A 21,142-nucleotide genomic window follows, 5' to 3' on the forward strand; every position below is an offset into this window, starting at 1 on the left:
TTAGGGCAGAAAGGCAAAAACTTGTAGGCAAATTGTTGCTAGAATTATGGTCCCCAGAGCAGTGGTTCTGATCACAGGTCAGATGCTGGGATTATTGTCCAGGTTTGCTTAGAATTGGCAAAGACAGGTTAGATCCTGTTTTCTGTCCCTTCCTGCCCAACTCTTTTTAATTTCAGTTCCTTTCTGAATTATTAATATGTAACCAAAGTATTACTGATTCAGATATTGGTGTGCTTTGCTTTAAGAAAATCCAGACTTAAAGTGAAAACCTTGCATAAGAGGTTTTTAATTTTCAGAAAACTTAAGTCGACAGCTTTATCATGTACATAAAATATAACTCAAATAAAATTGACCCAACTTTGAGGAAAACACTGATTTTAAGAGCAAGGCATTAATAAGGATCACCCAGACTTCCATAGCCCCAGCCTCCCCTTTCTTCTCTCCCATAGTATCTACTACCACCTGCGCTTTTTTCTCTTCTGTCAGAATCCAGCATGTTCTGATATGCTGGGTAAGATCAGATCTTACAAATGTCTTCATACTGGTTTCTGGTTATGGTATGTTCTATCATTACTTAATTTATAACTAGAAAAAAGGCCATTGGCCAAAGAAAAGAATTTCCCATTGCAGAATTTTAGGCATAACCCAGCCATTAGGCAAGCTGATTTTCATTTTATATTTGTTAGGTAGTGAAGAGTCACATAGGATTCTTCTCTGCCAGTCCCATATATCCACTCTCTAATCTCAGGAATAGCCTGCTTTCCTTCCCTTTGTTCTGGGAAAGCTGCAAAGTGAGCAGAAATTTCAGTGGTGGAGATGGGGAGGTTGACAGAAATCATTTAGTTATTTGGCCTGTGTTGCCCATTTCTGGTGGGCAGTTTGTTAATGATGGGTAGGTGTGAAAAGAGGCATCTGTTGCCTTTTATAGAGAACCTCTTGGTTTTGCAGCACCTGAAGCTCATGAACTGGAGGCTAATGAGGATATTGTGCCAACGCTGCAGGAGAATGATGGTAGACTCAAGATTCGCTGTTGGGTTGATGGTGGAGAGCTGTTCATTTTGATGTGGCCTGTGTGCCACAGCGAAGTCCTGTCAGTGTTCTACCTTCTTTCTTTATTTCTTCCTCCATTCATCAAGTATTTACTGAGGACCTGCCAGGTGCCAGGCCCTGTGCCTGATCCTGGCAGTAAAGAGGAAAATGATCCTTTGAGTAGCACAGCCCAATAGAGAAAATGTGAAAATCAGTAACATTGCTGTGGAGTGACAAGTTCTGCAATGGAAGTATTTATACAATATCATAGTATGACTAGCTGTCCTGAGCAGAGCAGTGTGGCTGAAGAGGGAAGAATGAGAAAGGGGAGAGGGCCAGGTAAGTTTTGAGCTGGTGAATAGACAGTTTTCAGGAAGGACGTTTTAGAAAGAATAGCGTGTGCAGAAGACACTGCTTAGGGATCCAGGTGGGGAAGTATCATTAGGTGAGATGGAGAAGCTAGAAAGAATAAAATTGTGAAGGATCTTGTAAATCTTGGAAATGAATTTAGACTTTACACATAGGCCTTCGGGAACCATTAAAGTGCTTTTGGACAGGGATGTAACATGATAGCATTTGTGTTTTAGAAAGATCATTCTGGTGGCATTGTGGAGAATGCACTAGAAGTCTAGGAGAACAGAAACCAATGAAGAGTCAATTCTAGACAAATGAAAAGATAGAAGCAATGGGATGTACTGACAGGTTCAAAGGAGAGGATGATGGAGACGGGGCCGTCTAGGAAGACTCCCAGGCTTAAAACACAAGTGCCTGAGAAGAACATGAAAAAAAATAGCAATAACAATAATAATAGTTGTAAATCTTTTTTTTTCTTTTTTTTTTTTTTTTTGGAGATACAGTTTCATTCTTGTCACCCAGGCTGGAGTGCAGTGGTGTGATCTCAGCTCACTGCAACCTCCGCCTCCTAGGTTCAAGCAATTCTCCTGCCTCAGCCTTCCGAGTAGCTGGGATTACAGGCACACAGCACCATGCCCAGATAATTTTTGTATTTTTACTAGAGAAATGGTTTCACCTGTTGGCTGGGCTCATCTTGAACTCCTGACCTCAAGTGATCTGACCACCTTGGCCTCCCAGATTGCTGGGATTACAGACGTGAGCCACTGCGCCCGGCCTAATTACTGGACTCTTGTCAGGCGCAAGGGGTTTGGCTACATGCTTTATATAGGTTATCTCATTCAGTAATCGTAATAATATTAGTAATATTATTATCCTCACTGCAGGCAGGAAAACAAGAAAATTTGAAAGTTAAGTAACATGCCCAAAGTCACATGGCTTGTAAATGGTAGTGCTTACATTGGAAGCCAGGTACTCCAAGCTCTAAACCTATGCTCCGCAGGAAATTCAGCAGGAGAAGTCAAGGCAAAGTATCTTAAGTTCAATTTTAGACTACTGAATTTAAAATGCCTATATTTTACGAAGGTCAAAATATCTAGCAGGGAGTTGGACAGCTGGATTGGAACTGGTGTGTGGTGGACGTGTGATCTGGGATTAGTGAATTGGTGGTAGTGAAGAAGGTAAGTGTCATGTGAGCACATCCCTAGAGACCCGGAATGGAACTGGGAAGAACCACATCCAACGGGCAAGCATGTTAAGACAAATTTGGGAAGATGATGAAAAGGAGCAGCTAGGGAGGTGGGAAGAACTAGGGGAGTCACAGGTGCAGTTTGAAGATCTGATGGAATGACCACTGAGATTAAATGCCTCAAGGAGATGAAGGAAGATTTAAAATGAGGATTGCCTTGGATTTGGCAATTAGGTGGTTGATGCATAGTCATTAAAGTTAGGCTAGAGTGGGCTACAAATGTAATGAAAAGTGAGAAAATGGAGAATATGGACTCAGGCTTCTTTTCAAAGAAGCCTGGCTGAGAAAGGAAGTGGGAGAGAGAGAAAGCAGAGGCAGCCTCAAGGTCAGGGGAATGGCTGTTTGTTTATAATGATAGTGACTTGAAATGCTTGGATATTGAGGAGAAAGAGCCTGGAGCAGTGGGAATTACACCAGGATGTTTATCCCACTAGATAGGGAAGTAGGAATCCCTCTAGCCATCAGGAGGAGAACATGGATTCTTAGAGAAAAAACAGGTTTCTACAGTTTTAATTTAGCAGCCCCCTTGTATTGCATAAAATCAGTCCAGATTGGTGAAGTGACTTGTCTCTGGCCACCTAGCTAGCCAGTCTGTGACCCCAGATCTCCTGGTTCCTGGCCTCTTTCCTCTCTTGCTGCCAGTGTCGGTGGGAGAAGAATCATCCCTGATTTGTTCCTCATGGTGTGAGTCTCCACTGCTCCTGTCAGGCCCTTCCTTGCTCCTTCAGAATGCACATTTCACAGATTCTGATGTGTCAGCAGGGCTTCAGCTGTGTGGAAGGTGAGTCACAGAGCTGCTTCATTTCCTCCACATGCCATGGGGCAGAGTTTTAGACGGTTAATTATAAAGTGTCAGTAACATAACAGTGCTAGAAGCCTCTTCCTCTAACCTGGGAACCCACATTCCTAGAAGGAGGAAGGGTCTCAGAGTTGGGGCCTTTCAGCAATCTCCTCATGGCCCACAGCGAGAGAGGATGTATTTATTTGTTCAGATGTGACACCTGCACACAGAAGCTGCATGCATGTGGTGGAGGGTGGGGTAGCAGTACCGATTCCTTAAATGAAAAAGCCTCTGCTCCTTGAAAACACCACATCAGCCAAGAGTTACTTGGTGAGCCTGGAGGCAAGGAGCACCCATGCTTTTCAGAAGGGCCCAGAGTAGCCTGCCCCAGCTCTACTTCGGGGTCTCCTGGAATCTGTATATATAGTGATGATTAATAATCTAGTCTTCTTACCACACATGGAAGGTGAAAGAAGGCCTGCAATTCAGTGGAGATGACCTTCTTATATTCCAAAGCTTGTGGTGTCAGCCAAGCTGTCATACCATTCTGATTAAATACTGACGGTGATCATTAAGATCTAAAGCCCTGCCCAGAACACACTGCTTAGAATCTAGGCACATGAATGCTATATAAACCTAAACCTCCCTTTTATAATTGATCTTCAATTACAACCCTCCTTGTCTTGATAGGCTCCAAGGTATAGCAATCAAGTTGCTTCTCTTTGCCCTCTCTCAACTTACCTAAACCCACTGCTCCTTTTTTGTTTAGTCTCTTGGGGCTTTCATGACCCATAGTTGGTAAATGGATAATTCCTGTGACACCAGGTGCCATCATTCTCATTGACTACAGTAAGAGCAGTGCCCCTGAAATGTCATAGACTACAGAGTGAATGGTGCTCTTTGTGCCACAGGTCTAGTTCCACCCCCTCTTCTTCCTTTAGTTACAGCATTCTCAGCAGAAAAAGTCCATGCTCTTGGGAAGTGGAAGCCCCAGGGGCCCATCCCCCCTGGGTCTGCTGCCCTCTCTTGTTTGTTTAGTGGTACTAAATCAATCTAAATTAAACTGGAGTCCAAAATGCTAACCTTGCGCTAAGAGATTCAGCGGGGATGTGGTGATTCAGGACACATGGTTCATTCTTCTGCTTATTCCTTTATTCACAGTTGATTTACAGTTGTCTTAGGAATTGACAACTGTGAGATATACTTGACCTAAGGGACTGAAAAAAAAAATCTTCCCTATTTTCTAAAAAATTAGGGGGACTTAACTAGCCCAAGGATGGGAGGCAGAAAGGGCCACCATAGAGGGAAAGGAGGAGCGAGGCTTGGTAGGTGGCATGACATGACATATTCCAGGGCTGAAAACAGAGACAGAGTGTTAGAAGCACAAGAGGGATAGAGGCCCAAGGTGAGACAGGACTCCTTGTGAGAGGGGGCAGGACTCAGAACCTGAAAAACCTTGAAGGCCACATTTAAAAGATTTGGGCTCCATCCCAGGAGTAATAGAAGGTTACTGGAGGATTATGAGATGCCATGATTAGGTTTATATTCTGAAAAGATCATTCTTGTTGTATCTAGAAAACTAATGGGAAACAAACAGGCAGACAGAGAGGTGGGTAAACCGTCAGAAGAATGTGGTATGAGGAAAAGCAAGGAAAGGCAGTGTTTTGAAAAGCTGTGAACTGTCAACTGCTTCTAAAGCTACTGAGCAGTCAAATGAAATAGGACTGGAAAATGTCCGTTGCCTTTAGGTACTTGTAGGTCATCAGTCTCTACTGACAGAGGAACTAGAACACAGAAAGTAGAAGAATGAGCAGGAGGTGAGGAAATTATAGCAGTAGAGCAAAGTTTCTTTCAGTGCCAGTGAAGAGCAGTGAAGACCCAGGTGATAGCTTGAGTGGGATCAGGGCTACAGGAGGTATTTTCCTTTTGTGTGTGTGATGAGGGAGACATGGACAAATTTCAGCGCTGATGGACAGTACTTAAATGGTTAAGAGTTACAGAAAATACCAGAAAGAGAGAAATATAATCAACGTCTTTTTATTCCAGAAAAGAGTGAAGGGATTGGATTTAAAGCAATCCAATTGCTTTAAATTGGGGCTGGGCACAGTGGCTCACGCCTGTAATCCCAGCATTTAGGGAGGCCGAGGTGGACAGATCACTTGAGGTCAGGAGTTTGAGACCAGCCTGGCCAACATGATGAAACCCCACCTCTTCTAAAAGTATAAAAATTAGCTGGACGTGGTGGTGCACGCCTGTAATACCAGCTACTTTGGAGGCTGAGGCAGGAGAATTGCTTGAACCTGGGAGGTGGAGATTGCAGTGAGCCAAGGTTGCACCACTGCACTCCACCCTGGGCAACAGAGCAAGACACTGTCAAAAAAAAAAAATAAGCACATGGGAAAGAGTTGATGTATTTGGCAATGGGAAAGGAGAAAACTGAGGAAGCTCCCATGTTACAGCTTTCATATTCTATGTGAAGTAGCTGTGGGGCAGGAGGGAGGAATGTAAGTAGCAGAGTGTGGAGACATAGCAGATCAGGGCCTTGAGGAAAGTGGGAAATTTACATTTATGGATTTGGGGAGTGGTCTAATTTAATTGAGAAACATAGGATCTCCATGGAGTTTTTGATGCTATTTGTAGTTGATGACAAAGAATTCTGTTACATTACTAGCGAGTTGTCCTAGAGTGTGCTTGTCTCAACTAGTGCTCAGCTGCTCTGGAGAAGGTGCAGAAGGTGAGTGGCAGAGTTCATCCAAGGTTACGACTTTGCAAGAAAAGCTGACAAGGACACAGAGGATGGGGCAGTCAGGAGCACAGGCAGAATAATGGACATGATTGACCATTGACAACCTAAGATGGATAAAGAGGTATGTCAAGATCAGAGAAGACTGACTAGCAGAAAAGAACAGTTAGTGGGCTGAAGGTCCTGATGAGAAAGTAGAGCAGTATGAGCAAGCTGGAAGAATAAGAGGTTAGCATCAGAGCACACAATGCATTGCTTTATGATTTTGAGGCTGAAGTCTCCATATGGAACCATGGGCTGAGGCTAGTAAAGTCTTCGTAAAGCTAGAGGAAATGACTGGGAAACTATCAGGTAAAAGAGAGGAGGAAGGGCAGGACTTCGACCAAAGACTTTTTGTAAGATCATGGAGGCCAAAGGTCTGGAAGAGTCATCGGGAAACTAAAAGGAACCAACTCCACATTCAGATCCTGAGGCAGGTGGAGTAGGAGAGTCTAAGCAGATACTCTTTGTATAGTGGCATCTTGGGATGAGAGCTAGAGGATAGCTTTCAAATCAACATGGTATCTCTCTGGGTTCTTTGGGCTAGCGATAAAGTAGGTCTACCCCATTTCTACATTCTAATTTCCTTTGAACTATCTAGTTTTCAGGGAGACAAAGACTATATACCACTTTCTCTATCTGGGATTCATTAATTTCAAATTTGGCTACTATGCTATAACCATAACAAGAACTTGTGGCCAGATATGATGGCTCATGGCTGTAATCCCAACACATTGGGAGGCCCAGGTGAGAGAATCACTTGAAGCCAGAAATTTGAGACCAGCCTAGGCGACATAGTGAGACCTCACCTCTACTAAAAATACAAAATAAATTTTCTTTTAAAGTTTAAAAATTTGCATTAACCTTCCCTATAAATTCCCCTGCCTAAAGAACTCTCCTTCAATATTTCTTTTAGTTTGCATCTGGAACAACAAATCTGAGTTTTTATTTGTCTAAAACATCCTTATTTTGCCTTCATTTTTGAAGAATATTTTTACAGGTTGTAGAATTCTAGGCTGGAAATTTATTTTCTTTCAGCAACTTAAAAATGTCATTCTATGGTCTGCTGGCTTCCATTGTTTCTACTGATAAGTCAGCTGTCCATATTTTTCTTGCTTTTTGGAAGGTAATGTATCTTAGTGTGTAATATTTTTTAAAATTTTCCTTGTTTCAGCATTTTTACTATGATGTGTCTAACTTTATTTCCTTGTATTTAGAACTTCTTAGAATTTCTTGAATGTGTGGCTTATAATCATATCAGTTTTGAAAATGTGTGCAGCCATTATCTTGTCAAATATTGCTTTAGTCCATTTCTCTCTCTGCAGTCTCAGGGACTCCAGTATGTTAATTCTTTCACAAAATTCTGTGTCTCTTACTCTCTTGTCTGTTTCTTTCAAACTTTTTGCTCTCCATATTTCTGTCTGATAATTTCTATTTGTTTGTCTTCTTACTCACTAATCTTCTCTTTACCTCTGACAAATATGTTGCTAAACACATCTATTAAGAAGATGTGTTATTTATTGTGCTTTTTTGTTGTTGATTTTTTTTTTTTTTTTGAGATGGAGTCTCGCTTTGTCGCCTAGGCTGGAGTTCAGTGGTGCAGTCTTGGCTCACTGCAACCTCTGCCTCCCAGGTTCAAGTAATTCTCCTGCCTCAGCCTCCTGAGTAGCTGGGATTAGAGGTGTGCACCACCATGCCTGGCTAATTGTTGTATTTTTAGTAGAGACAGGGTTTCACCATGTTGGTCAGGCTGGTCTCAAACTCCTGACCTCATGATCCCCCCGCCTCGGCCTCCCAAAGTATTACAGGCGTGAGCCACCATGCCCAGCCTTGTTGTTGAATTTTTATTAAATTCTTTTTTATAGATTCCAGTTTTCTGGTGAAATTCTCCATGTTGTCATCTTTTTTTCTTGCACAAAAAAAGCACAGTTATTTTCAAAACATATGTTTGGTAACTCTAATATCTGGGTTACCTGTGGGCCTATTTCTATTGTGGTTTTTTCTCTCTCTCTTAGCTGCAGTTTTTGGAATTTCTGATAATTTCTACTTGAATGTTGGGCAATGTATGTAAATAATTGTAGTCTCTGGATGATGTTATCTTTTTCTAAAGAAGTGTAATCTTATCTTTTCTGGCAAGCAGCTAGAGTGGGAGATTATATCCATTCAGTCTGGGACTTAGCTTATTGGATTGGATTGGAACTTTTGTAAAACATGGTTTACCTCACATTTTTCTCCTCTTCTAGAGTGTAGCTTGTCAGAGGCCCAAATGATAGCCTTTGGTTATTTACTGGAACTCTTCCTTCTTGGTGGGACCTAAACTTGTGACTGCCAGAAATTTGACTTTTCTTTATAGCTATACTCTCATTTTTATAGAGCCTTAAGCTGTATGAAATTAGCAAATATAAAATTATAAAAATATAACAATATATAATATAAATATAACAATATATTATGTATAATAATATAAGTATAAATATTATATAAAATCATCAAGTCTCCATAAGGTAAAATCAAATGCTGAGTATGGGACTAAGCTCCATGTACCTCCCTTCTCCCAAGTATCCTGTCACTCACGCCCTGGTTGTTCTGGCAGCTCTGAACTCCCATTAAGAGCTTTCCTCATCATATTTAGTATTTAACATTAGGAATGTATGGGAGAAGTTCATATAAAATACCAAAAACTGAATAAACATAGCTAGTCAGGCATCCTGGCTCTCTGACTGTGTCACAAACAGGAATGACTTCATGTAGGAATGTTCTTTACCCTAAGCTTGCGTGTGAGGAAGATGGTTTCCTCTTTTTTGGAGGCCTGTACATCTGTGAAGGTGTGCCTTATCCTCTAAGAATGCCCCTGTCATTGTTTGGATGGTATACATAAACAGTTTAGCAAATAGTTGTACAAGATGAAGGAATGAACATTGCTTTTTTTTTTTCCACCTTTTTGCCAGACAAGACGTAACCAGAATAGACATGATGATATTCGTTAAAATTTACTAAAGATTTACTGCGGAGCAGGCTCTGTGTTAGATGCCTCATACTGATTATCTCATTTAATCCTAAACAGAGCCTATGAAGTAATAAAGATAATTATTCCCATTTTACATTTGATGAAACTGAGGCTTAAAGAGATAAAGTCAATTTAAACAGGGCCCAAGAGCCAGGAAGTAAATGGCACAAGCAAGTTTGAACTCAGATTTTTCTAATCTCAAGATCCATGTTTTTTTCCAACATTTCATCCTGCTACTTGGCCTGCCCTTTTTCAGCATAACTAGTATCATGATTTCACTGACCCCTGGACTCCTGATATATCTTCTTATGTAAAGTCAGAGCTAAGTAGTCTGAGGGGTTTACATGCAAAGACATCCCCTTCCTGGTACATTGCTTTCAGGTATTTCCAGATTCTTCCCTCCCCCACCCAGCTTTTGCAATATGTATCACATTAAATGCCTCCATTTATAACTACTATGGCAAGTCTGAATGTAATTTTTTTTTTTTTTTTTTTCAGAAATACAGCTTTATGCAGAGACAGGAAGCAGTTAGTGGTAGGGCTTTATTTTGGGAGGATTAGAGTGGTAGGGGGTGGGGCATGGGGAGAAATTGCTTTCTGCAGTGTCAGATGAATGAGTTATAGGAAATGATAGCTCAGCCAGCAGCTTGGTGCTTGCTAGTGAGTCAGCAGTGATTCCATCCTCAGCCCCAGTGCTGGGATCACAGCTGAGAGACACTCTTCCTGGTGAGGGCTCCTCCCCGCCCTGCTGTCTGGGACATGGATGTTCTGCTTACCTGATGTGAACCATTCAGTTACCTGTCATGGAGGAGAAAGAGACACAGAACGATCTTTTTGTTTTAATGCAGATGTTTCTACACTTCTTTGGGATTAATTGGTATTTCTAATTATTTTTCCTGATATCCAGCAGAAAGATTCGGTGATTTTCTATCTAGAGGATGATATTTGGGACTGGTGTCAAAGCAGGATCTAGTTCTTAAGGCAACATTTTATACTTTTATACTACTTCAACTTTAGAAGGTCTTTGTAAGTGATCAGAATAGTATGGAAAAGCAAGACAAGAAGACACTGCTTCAGAAGAAGAGGTAAACACGAAACCATCTTGTCAGCACAATGGAAACCATGTAGCTGTAGTAAAAAACTAGAACCAAATCATTGCGGTTGTTGAGGTAGGATAGTAGGATTGTTGGTGATTGCTTTTTTGTTTTGTTTTGTTATGTTACTTTATTTTCCAGGTCCAATACATAGGAACAAGTTGTAAAATTTATTCTATAAGTAGTCCTTTAGTGCTCTAAAGTAACTAGTTGTGAAAAATAACTGGCCAAATAACCTTAATATTTTAGGATATCTTTTCCCCAGGCCCTTATGAGACTCTTAAAGTCAATCTGGTCATACCCAGGATTCTCCAGTAGGAAATGGGTAGAGAGGTCTAACTTTTCTCAGAATTTCCTATGTGCCAGGCATTTGCTTCCTTTTCGCTCTGAGAAGGTGCTATTATCCATATTTTACAGATAAAGAAACTAATGCTCAAAGAGATTGAAGGAACGTTCCCAGGCCAATTTGCTAATATGTGGTATAATTTCATCCATGCCCAAGTCATACTGACTCCAAAGTCCATACTCTTTTAACTTTAGTACAAAATGATGCCAGCACAGTTTCCATTCCACCTGCTTTTTGTAAGGCAGTTTAAATATGTGAACTTACTGCTGGACTGATCATCCACGAAAAAAACTGCTGCAATATATTATTCTCTTTTTGAAAAACTGGGACTCTAAAACTCACATATACTTGACTTGTACTTTAGTTAGACACATATTTAGAGCATTGGATAGCATGCATATCTGTGTGCTTCACCTGAAGTCCATAAAAAAGGTACAGTAAACACCTGGTTTAGTGGTTGGACTCCCCTGGAATTTGCAGTGACTCTCATGATCTCTCCTAAAGTTCTTAGATATGTAAGACTGAGGATAAAGCTAAATGTTTTGTTGTTCAGAACAGTAGCTGCAAGTGACAGTTTTGGTTGAGGGGGGGGTGTTATTGTTGCAAAGTAGAACACTTACAGCTTCACAAAAATATCCATCTCATTGACCCAACAGGGCCCTAATTCATCTTTTTAATAAGCTAATAACATTTAAAGATCTTTTAAATTTTTTACTGTTACTATAATGCAATTAATGCTGTGTTTTGATAGCTTTATTGAGGTATTGATATGTAATAAACTGCACATATTTAATGTACAATTTGATTAAATTTAACACCTATGAAGCATCACTTCAATAAAAATGATGAATATATCCATTTCCCCAAAAAGTTTTTTGTAATGCTCTATATTTGAAGGACAAAAATCCAGTCATTTATGTTCTCCTTTCCATTTGGTGAAAAGAGCCTGGACAGGGACCCAGATTATGTGAGTCTGGACTCCAATCTTGCCTTAACTAGCTCCACACAATTCAGTGAGTCCTTTAATTTTTTTGGCCCTTGGATTTTCATCTGAAAAATGAGGGGGTTGGACTAGATGGTCCCTAAGGACCCCCACAGCTCTGAAGTTCAATAAAGCTAAAAGGACCGGTGTACTTAGGGTATTGGTTTGTGTCCAAATGGTTTTATGTAAAAACGTAGACTTCCCTGGTGGCCTGGTGTCAGCTGTGCCACTTCATCCCTGCCTTGCTTTGCTTGATTGGTTATCATGAAATCATTGTATTTCTTTTAATTCCCTTTCACCCTGATTCAGGGTCATTCGTGTCATTGTCTCCACGTTGGTCGTAGTAAGCATAGGGAAATACTCGACTTAAGAATTTGGGGCTAATACTTGGGTAATGCTGGGAATTTGGCAACACCATAAGCAAAGAGCTAAGGAGAGATTATGACAGGATCATCAGCCCTCTGGCTATTTTTGAGGCAGCTTGAGCGTTTTATGCGGGGCAGAGACAAGCTGTATTAGATATATTTCAGGACTGGGGGAAGGGAAGAGGATTGGAATTTAATTAAAATTCTTATCCCAACTTTGCCCATCTTCTTGCCAAGTCAGCAGCTAGCATTTCTGCTCATGGTTCTGGTGGCTCTGCTGTGATGACATACAATTACCTCCAAAATTCTCGTGAATTTGCTGAAAACTTCAATAATGCTCAACCAGATGCTTTAATCAGGCCTGGCATGTTGCCATCTTTTGCCTGTGTTTTTGGCGATACCTGATCTACCACTGCCAGCATTCCTGGTGGGAGAGGGGCTTTGGAGGGAGCTGATGGTGAAAACTGAGCTGATTACAAACAAGAAAACCGCTTCATTGCAGCATAGAGATCTTTCCAAACTGCTTCTGTTTTCCAGGTAGCTCAGTGGCATTTCTGAGCAGGGGCCACCCTGACTTCACCTTGGCCCACCATGAGGGTCTTCCTGCTTTGTGCCTACATACTGCTGCTGATGGTTTCCCAGTTGAGGGCAGTCAGCTTTCCTGAAGATGATGAACCCCTTAATACTGTCGACTATCACTGTAAGTCGTCTCAAGAACAGTCTTCTATTCTGAGAAGGAAGCTTTTCTGTTTTTCATTCTGTAAGCATGTTCATTTTCAGAAAGAGGCAGAGATTTTTTATGTCTTAACCTTGAATTTGCATCTGAGTTTATCAGTAATCATTTCCTAGTGTTTGGAGAAAACGGGGCAGTTTTGTTGGGTGCTTTTCTACAGCAACCTGTATATAGGTTATATATTTTGAGTTAAAAAGACCATTTGCTGACATTCACTGCCTTTTATTCATTTATATTCAAGACCTTAAGAGAGGAATTTAGTTAAAACCCTTCTACAACAAGTATATACAGCTAATCAATGCTGTTTATTGATCCCTCAGCTCCATAATCCTGAATGATGGTTTAGCCCATTTTTACTTGCAGATTCAAGGCAATATCCGGTTTTTAGAGGACGCCCTTCAGGCAATGAATCGCAGCACAGGCTGGACTTTCAGCTGATGTTGAAAATTCGAGACACACTTTATATTGCTGGCAGGTAATTTTCCTCTCATTGGTTTATTAGATTAAAATTCTTTTCTCTTGTGGTGCTTGCATTAGTGTGTCTAGTTCATGAAAAACTAATATGTGATTGTGATCAAAAATTGCAAGTAGCCAGAAATATTCACTGAGAAGAGTCAGTGTTGTGTACCGGGAACAAAATACAGAGCTCAAGCTTTCAGCGGTGCTATTTTATTACTGCCATCAAGAAATCATACACCATTCTTTTTTCCTAAAGCAGCAGGGGAAAAAAAAAAACCTTTCTTTATGCGTTTTTAACTTAGAATTATTCAAGCAAATATTAGAAATATGTCTATGCTAATACCAAGTAGCAGTTTGACCCATGCCTGGAGAGAAGAGCTTTCTTTGCTCTCTGACTACAGTGATATATAAAAGCATCTCACTAATGAAAAAGTACTCTTTGTTGACTTTGTTTGAGACAGAGAAAATCCAGATGATCTCTAAAACACAATAAAGGCAGATCTGTAAAAATAAAAAAGGAAGCAGCTTAACATTTTTATGTATTCACGTGATATGTTTTATTGCCTTATTTCCAACAGGGATCAAGTTTATACAGTAAACTTAAATGAAATGCCCAAAACAGAAGTAATACCCAACAAGGTGAGCAACTGTAGTTGGCAAATTTATTTACCTTCCCTCTGAACCTGATTAATTTTCCCACTGCCTCCCCAAAAATGTTCGCAGTTAAAAACTGCTTTGGTTTTGCTTGATTAATACAGAAACTGACATGGCGATCAAGACAACAGGATCGAGAAAACTGTGCTATGAAAGGCAAGCATAAAGTGAGTGAAACAGAAAAATGTCTGCTAGATTTAGTCTTTCTGTGGGCTTGATACCACAGTGCCAGCATGTTCAAATGTCTAATATTAATGTAACTACTACTTTCTTTAGGATGAATGCCACAACTTTATCAAAGTATTTGTTCCAAGAAACGATGAGATGGTTTTTGTTTGTGGTACCAATGCATTCAATCCCATGTGTAGATACTACAGGGTAAGTATATTTTATGTGATATGCTTCTTTTGATCAACTTTTCTCCCTTCACTGATATGCTGTTAGAGTTGAAATCTTTCTGCTTTCCAGTAATTTGTTTTATCTCTAGTGCAATGAAAGAATAAAGACAGAATTCTTCAAATGGAATTTTAATACAAATAAAATAGTATTGCCTTCAAACGGGCACGTTGAATAGATATGACACTGGCTATTTACTTTTCTTTTGTAGTTGAGTACCTTAGAATATGATGGGGAAGAAATTAGTGGCCTGGCAAGATGCCCATTTGATGCCAGACAAACCAATGTTGCCCTCTTTGCTGGTAAGATCCTTTAGCGTAATGAATATAAATGATTAATGACATTGAAGGTGAAAAAGGAATTTAATGGAAGAGTAAAAGTTAATAACTTGGATACCCACCTTGATCTAAGTGTTCGAAAGGCTAGAATCTATGCACAAATTTCCAAAAAAAGAAGAAATTAAGGGCAAGGATATTTCAGTGCACACTATAAGTATTATGACACCGTGTTGTTAACTAGGCCAGTGGCCCCCGATAAGTTGCTTAAGTTTTTGATGCCTAGATCCCTGTAAAATTAGATAATATCATGGCTGACCTGTCACATGTTGATGGTGAGAATCAGGTGTAGCCCTATTTGTATAGATAATGGTAATACCAGTGAGAGCGCTCCAAAGGGCATAACACGCTGCCAAAGCTAACACACTGCAGGATAATTATGGTTATCTTACCAAAATTATACCTTTGGTTTCAGATGGGAAGCTGTATTCTGCCACAGTGGCTGACTTCTTGGCCAGCGATGCCGTTATTTATCGAAGCATGGGTGATGGATCTGCCCTTCGCACAATAAAATATGATTCCAAATGGATAAAAGGTACCTTTGAAGAGCAGTGTCGTGGGGTCACCAGGATAGTGGATGGCCCAAGTGGGGACAGCAGCCACGGCCATCAAGAGGTTCAGCGCATGACTTTATATTGTTTATTTAGAACAAGTACACACTGCTTTGATTGTGAACAGGAGCATTGACAGGGAATGAGGAGGCTGGTAGCCATGTCAGAAGAGTAAGTTCATCCAGGTGTTTATCCTAGGTGACCTCAAAAAAAAAAGGGGAGATTTCATCTCTGTGTGTGCCAATTTGTCTAACTTTCTAAATGCACATAATACTACTTGCCATCTACCCATCTTGGAAAGTTACCAGAGAGAATCGATTAGTCCGTATGAGAGCCATTTTGTTCTTCAGAGTCTAGAAATCAAGATTTTTTATTTTCAGTGTAAGAGGTTTTCTTCCCTAGTTAAATAGGTTAATGAATAAATCTGTTGAAACAAAGACCTTTGCTGTAGTTCAGTTCCCTGTAGGTCTTTTTACAGTCCATTAGCTGACTTTAGAGATGACTGGTTCCCTGAAGCTTGAACACACCCATATTGGGACTCCTCAAAGTCATTGGCAGATTGGAGTTCTTGTTGGCTTGAATGTAATTGTGCAACATCTGTCAGTCATGCTTTGCAGTCGGGGTCTTATGCTAATTGAATTATCCTTTAGGAACCAGTTTGTTTTTAATTTTTCTTTCAGAGCCACACTTTCTTCATGCCATAGAATATGGAAACTATGTCTATTTCTTCTTTCGAGAAATCGCTGTCGAACATAATAATTTAGGCAAGGCAAGTATATGCATTTGGCTTGAATTGTGGACTTGTACTGCATGAAATTGAGACCACTGTGATAGAGTTAAGGATGCTCACTTGGCATGTTTTCCAGCTCTCAATTCAGTATACATAGGGCCAACTGCAGAGAGGTGGGTTGCTTATCATGAGAATAATTGCTGGAAAACATCTGAACAATAACCTGAGTGGGAACAGCAGCCTTGAGTTTTGAGAAGGTATCGTTTTTTTTCCTGCAGCCACAGAGAGTGTTCTACAGGTACCCTTGAGCTACGGATGCTTTTTTTACTCTTTAGAAAACCACTGATAGTCTATTCTTTCTCAGCGTCAAAAGACAGGATAGAAAGTAGCGACCCCATTCAATTTTTAGTGTTTCAGTGAAAGCCCATGTGATTTTAAAGTATTGCAACCCCTTCTATGCCAAGTTGAAAGATGACATGTTTCATTAACAATACAGGAAGCAAAGTTGGAGACCAAGTGCAGGGATGGTTTTCATTCAGCAAGGCAGATAGACAGCTCACTTCTTGGGAAGGATGCTTAGCAAAATAGGAAAGTGGCTCTTTTTTCCCCACAGGTGAATCTAGTTTACCTTCTTACTGAACAGATCCCTAGAGAGAAGACTGCTAGATTTTTTTGAACCAGATGTATCTTTAGTATTTTTTGTCCCTCCCTTAAACAGTATCATTTTGTTTCCATTCCTTTCCATGCTCATAACCCCATTGCTTTGCTTCTATCCGTTGGGCAGGCTGTGTATTCCCGCGTGGCCCGCATATGTAAAAACGACATGGGTGGTTCCCAGCGGGTCCTGGAGAAACACTGGACTTCATTTCTAAAGGCTCGGCTGAACTGTTCTGTCCCTGGAGATTCGTTTTTCTACTTTGATGTTCTGCAGTCTATTACAGACATAATACAAATCAATGGCATCCCCACTGTGGTCGGGGTGTTTACCACGCAGCTCAATAGGTGAGAGCAGAACCCCGGCACTGCAAAGATATTCTCTGCATGCCTGTCAGAACCAAGACAGGCTTCATGTCGCCAGCCTCTTCCTGATGATTTTCTTCCTTTTCAGCATCCCTGGTTCTGCTGTCTGTGCATTTAGCATGGATGACATTGAAAAAGTATTCAAAGGACGGTTTAAGGAACAGAAAACTCCAGATTCTGTTTGGACAGCAGTTCCCGAAGACAAAGTGCCAAAGCCAAGGTAAATAAAAAAGTAGAAAAGGGTTTTGTCTTGAACAAAACCTTCCGGTCATTGGAAGCATCCCTCCTCAGGGAGCAGCTTGGCCAACCTCCCACACCAGGAAGGGGTCCCTCTCTCAGACAGAGCCAGCAGACATAGCCTTGTGACCTGCAAGCCCATGAGTGTGAATGGAGAACCCATTGAATTCAGGGGCATAGCATTGCTCCTTTAGTTTCACTCACTCTCCTTCCTCACTTGACCTCTTCTCTGAGAATATACACTTATTCCTTAGATACAGTACATGGTGTGGCAGGGGCAGCCGAGAGCATAAAATAACGCTGTTTTCCTTTCAGGCCTGGCTGTTGTGCAAAACACGGCCTTGCCGAAGCTTATAAAACCTCCATCGATTTCCCGGATGAAACTCTGTCATTCATCAAATCTCATCCCCTGATGGACTCTGCCGTTCCACCCATTGCCGATGAGCCCTGGTTCACAAAGACTCGGGTCAGGTGAGATTGTGTGTGAAACACTCCTTCCTATTCAACGTTTTCTCTGCCCGTTGGCCTCCCCTTCTGATCTGTGCCGCCTCCTCTTGTAGGTACAGACTGACGGCCATCTCAGTGGACCATTCAGCCGGACCCTACCAGAACTACACAGTCATCTTTGTTGGCTCTGAAGCTGGCATGGTACTTAAAGTTCTGGCAAAGACCAGTCCTTTCTCTTTGAACGACAGCGTATTACTGGAAGAGATTGAAGCCTACAACCATGCAAAGTAGGTATATGTTACGAGAACGCCCTTCAGCACTGCTCAAAAATTTTCGGCATGTATTTCATCTAGTCATGTCCTTTTGGTCCTCTAAATTAGCAGTGGTTTGGCATAATAGTGTTTTGTGTTTTTTTTCTCATTGAAATAAATCTTGGGTTTGTTTTTTTCCCGAGCCTGCTAGGGCGAGGGGGGTGAATGGTTGATGAGTTTAAAAATAATGCAGCCCTTGTTTTTCACCTGTAGAATATGAGAACATTTTAACAGCACCTCTCTTATCTTGCAGATATATTCCAAGATGCTACATGCAGCAGACAGCTGTGAGCTTGCATACACACACACACAAATATACATGCACATACATACACAGAATGCAGTACTAGTTAAGTATTTCCTTCCTATCTTTAATAAGTAAGAGAATATTTAGACCATTAAAAAAAAAAACAAATAAGAAATAGAAGAGAGAAATGGAGCCAAGGGGACTAAGGAGAGAACCAGAACCATCTAACACAGGAAAATTTATATGCATTAAAGCACGATCCTTTTTATTTCTATAGTCAAATGTGGCCTTCGCAAATGCAATTCACTTCTATCATCATAACAGGAAAGCAATGTTTAAAAACCCTTTGTCCAGCCTGAAATTTAACCAACCATGCAGAGAAGTAGAAGATGAATCACATAATTATTATTTCCCAAGCTATGTACTTGCCTGGTTTGTTACCAAGAATATTCCTTATGATTTCCCAGGTCTCAGTAATTGCTAAAGCAAACCACACTTGACTGACTAAACATATGGCTTCAAAATGTATCCCACAAAATAGGTGCAGTGCTGAGAATGAGGAAGACAAAAAGGTCATCTCATTACAGTTGGATAAAGATCACCACGCTTTATATGTGGCGTTCTCTAGCTGCATTATCCGCATCCCCCTCAGTCGCTGTGAGCGTTATGGATCATGTAAAAAGTAAGCTCGTGTTTCTTTACTTACCCTGGGTCTTGCAGTATCGAAACCTTTGTTGATGAGAAAATCCAAGTTACATTCTGTTTGGTTTTACACAGGTCTTGTATTGCATCTCGTGACCCGTATTGTGGCTGGTTAAGCCAGGGATCCTGTGGTAGAGTGACCCCAGGGATGCTGTAAGTATACTTTGTCACATGAGCTAGGATGAACTATCCTCTCCAGGGTCTCTAAAGCTAGAAATTGCAGAAAACTTCCAATTATACTACTTTTCTTTTTTTTTGTTGTTATGGGAGAAACAGGAAAACGAAAACCAGGAGACGTGACAAGGAAGGGAATAATAATACTTAAGGGAAATGGTAGACCTAATAATACTTAAGGGAAATGGATGGAGAGAAAAAACCAATTCTCTTCTGTTCTCTTAAGCATTCTAGTTCACCAGTTTTTAACAGAAATAGTCATTTTAGCAAGTTATGTTAAAATGTTGTTTTTTTTTTTTCTCTCTCTGCCCATTCTTACTAATCAGTCTGTGTTCTTGGTTCTGCTCTGGTTGTCACTTGTGTTCCTATGAAGGCTGTTAACCGAAGACTTCTTTGCTTTCCATAACCACAGTGCTGAAGGATATGAACAAGACACAGAATTCGGCAACACAGCTCATCTAGGGGACTGCCATGGTAAGACAGAATCTTCCATTCCCACCTGGAGCTTCTTTTTGACCACATTTGCACGTCGACATTATTTTACAATCAGTCTTTTTAATGACTCAGGACACATACCACCTAGCATTTAACTTAAACTTCGCAAAAGCTGAGCTGTTCGGTCATGGGGATACATTAGAAAAGAGGCTTACTTTTTTTTTCCTTCACCATTTACAATTTTGTAGGAAATCTAGAGAGAGGTAGTCTAACCAGTAGGTTAATATTTTTAATTTATAGTCTTTTTTTTTTTTACTTTTTTAGTTAATTGGAATTCATAAATTTTTGCTTTCTTTTGGTTACTTTTCACTGATTACTTGTTCCTTTAATTCTTTTAGAAATTTTGCCTACTTCAACTACACCAGATTACAAAATATTTGGCGGTCCAACATCTGGTTAGTTTTTTTTAATTTTTTTGAATTAACAACCTTTTCTTTCCTTCAGTTCAGCATTTTCAGCCCCTTCTCCCCTCCTTTTGCGCAGTTTGGCAGCCCTTCATTTTTCCGCTTTGACTCATATTCCCACTGATGGTACCAAAAGACTTTTCTTACTGAGCACTTCACCCTTGTTTATAGCATGTTAACACTTCATCATTGACCAAGCCACATCCTTTAAGAAAATTCAAATGGGCTAACATAGACTGCATTCCAGCTGCACGCACGCCCACCCAAGCTTTCTTCTTTCTCACCTCTTTGCATTGTGAATGTTTCTTCTGGTCATCTGTATTTAATGGATGGCGGAATTTCATTATTTTCCCCATCTCTCCTCACCTTTCCTATGACCTAGTAAACAAATACACATTTCCCATAAATGTGTATTTATAAGTTTTAGAGATCTTTGAATGGTTTGCGCTAATCCTGGGAATCTTTGAATGTTGTGGTCTCAGTGGTGTGAAAAAGGCTTCAGTGGAGTGAAGCTGATTTTTGATGTATTAAGATGTTCAATGGGCTCTCCAAGCCTCTCTGTACCTGTTTGGAGCCTCCTTCTGTTAACTGTTGCACCAGTCAGAATTGTGGTCTCTGAGGTTTTAGCTTAAAAGCGTAGGCTTACATTTTGAGGGAAAATCTATTTGGAGGAAATCAGTACTAGACATGCTAAAAGGTTAAGTTAACTCCCGGTCCTATTGCTGCTTCTAAAACTCACCAGCAATTCCTTTCCTCAGGGGGAGAAAAAGATGGTAGATCTTATGTATCAGAATATCCTCATTCAGTTTGTAAATGCCATTGCCTTTGCATTAGGTTCTGCTTGGAAGAAACTCCCCAGCAGTTTTGGAGAGAGTACAAGCAAAGTCTGTCCCCTCCTTCGTTGTTTTACTGTGGGTGGCAGAGCCTTAGTATAGTGAATAATCTACAAATGGACAGGAGCCCCTGGTAACAACCTCTTAGGCAGAGCTGGTTTGTCACGTCCAAAATCAAGTATTTTCATAGACTTAACCAGATATTTTCCAACAAAGTTCCATCATAGCTTCTTCCCCAGTAAAGCCTATAGATTTTCTAACCATCTGTGAAAGTGCTTTTAAAAATGCATAAAAAAGAAATGAAATGATGTCTCACAAGAGAAGGAAGAAACAGCAACTAATCTGCCCTGGGAATTATATTACCTTTTTCATGAGTGTCATTAGTAACCACAGGGGCTTTCCTAAGAGCCTTTCGAGTATCTTTAATT

At 40.5% G+C, this 21,142-nt stretch overlaps 1 protein-coding gene across 9 annotated transcripts in view, besides 1 other annotated feature; it reads left to right on the plus strand.

Annotated features, from left to right (window-relative positions):
• SEMA6D (semaphorin 6D) overlaps positions 1–21,142 on the plus strand; it is a 590,140-nt gene that overhangs the window by 563,133 nt on the left and 5,865 nt on the right. For 3 of the 9 annotated variants that reach the window (NM_001358351.3, NM_153618.2, NM_153617.2), the window contains exons 2-17: positions 12,524–12,686; positions 13,083–13,194; positions 13,757–13,817; positions 13,937–13,999; positions 14,109–14,210; positions 14,440–14,530; positions 14,979–15,098; positions 15,795–15,883; positions 16,629–16,846; positions 16,953–17,084; positions 17,417–17,572; positions 17,662–17,835; positions 18,648–18,788; positions 18,884–18,961; positions 19,395–19,456; positions 19,816–19,872. In NM_001358351.3, coding sequence (NP_001345280.1) covers positions 12,578–12,686; positions 13,083–13,194; positions 13,757–13,817; positions 13,937–13,999; positions 14,109–14,210; positions 14,440–14,530; positions 14,979–15,098; positions 15,795–15,883; positions 16,629–16,846; positions 16,953–17,084; positions 17,417–17,572; positions 17,662–17,835; positions 18,648–18,788; positions 18,884–18,961; positions 19,395–19,456; positions 19,816–19,872 — 1,765 coding nt within the window. In that variant the 5' untranslated portion in view covers positions 12,524–12,577. Of the gene's footprint in view, positions 1–12,523; positions 12,687–13,082; positions 13,195–13,756; positions 13,818–13,936; positions 14,000–14,108; positions 14,211–14,439; positions 14,531–14,978; positions 15,099–15,794; positions 15,884–16,628; positions 16,847–16,952; positions 17,085–17,416; positions 17,573–17,661; positions 18,271–18,647; positions 18,789–18,883; positions 18,962–19,355; positions 19,457–19,815; positions 19,873–21,142 lie in introns of those variants that run through there. The other 6 variants (NM_001198999.2, NM_020858.2, NM_153616.2 and 3 more) reach the window with 4 other exon arrangements.
• Positions 17,117–18,316: an enhancer, noted in NCBI's record as "BRD4-independent group 4 enhancer chr15:48056535-48057734 (GRCh37/hg19 assembly coordinates)". NCBI's record gives its function as "activates an origin of replication core promoter dependent on BRD2, P300/CBP, MED14 and CDK7 cofactors, and independent of BRD4, by STARR-seq in HCT116 cells {active_cell/tissue: HCT116}" and the evidence as "EXISTENCE:reporter gene assay evidence [ECO:0000049][PMID:35650434]".

The sequence above is a fragment of the Homo sapiens genome, chromosome 15 (genome assembly GCF_000001405.40).
Source record: "Homo sapiens chromosome 15, GRCh38.p14 Primary Assembly".
NCBI lineage: Eukaryota > Metazoa > Chordata > Mammalia > Primates > Hominidae > Homo > Homo sapiens.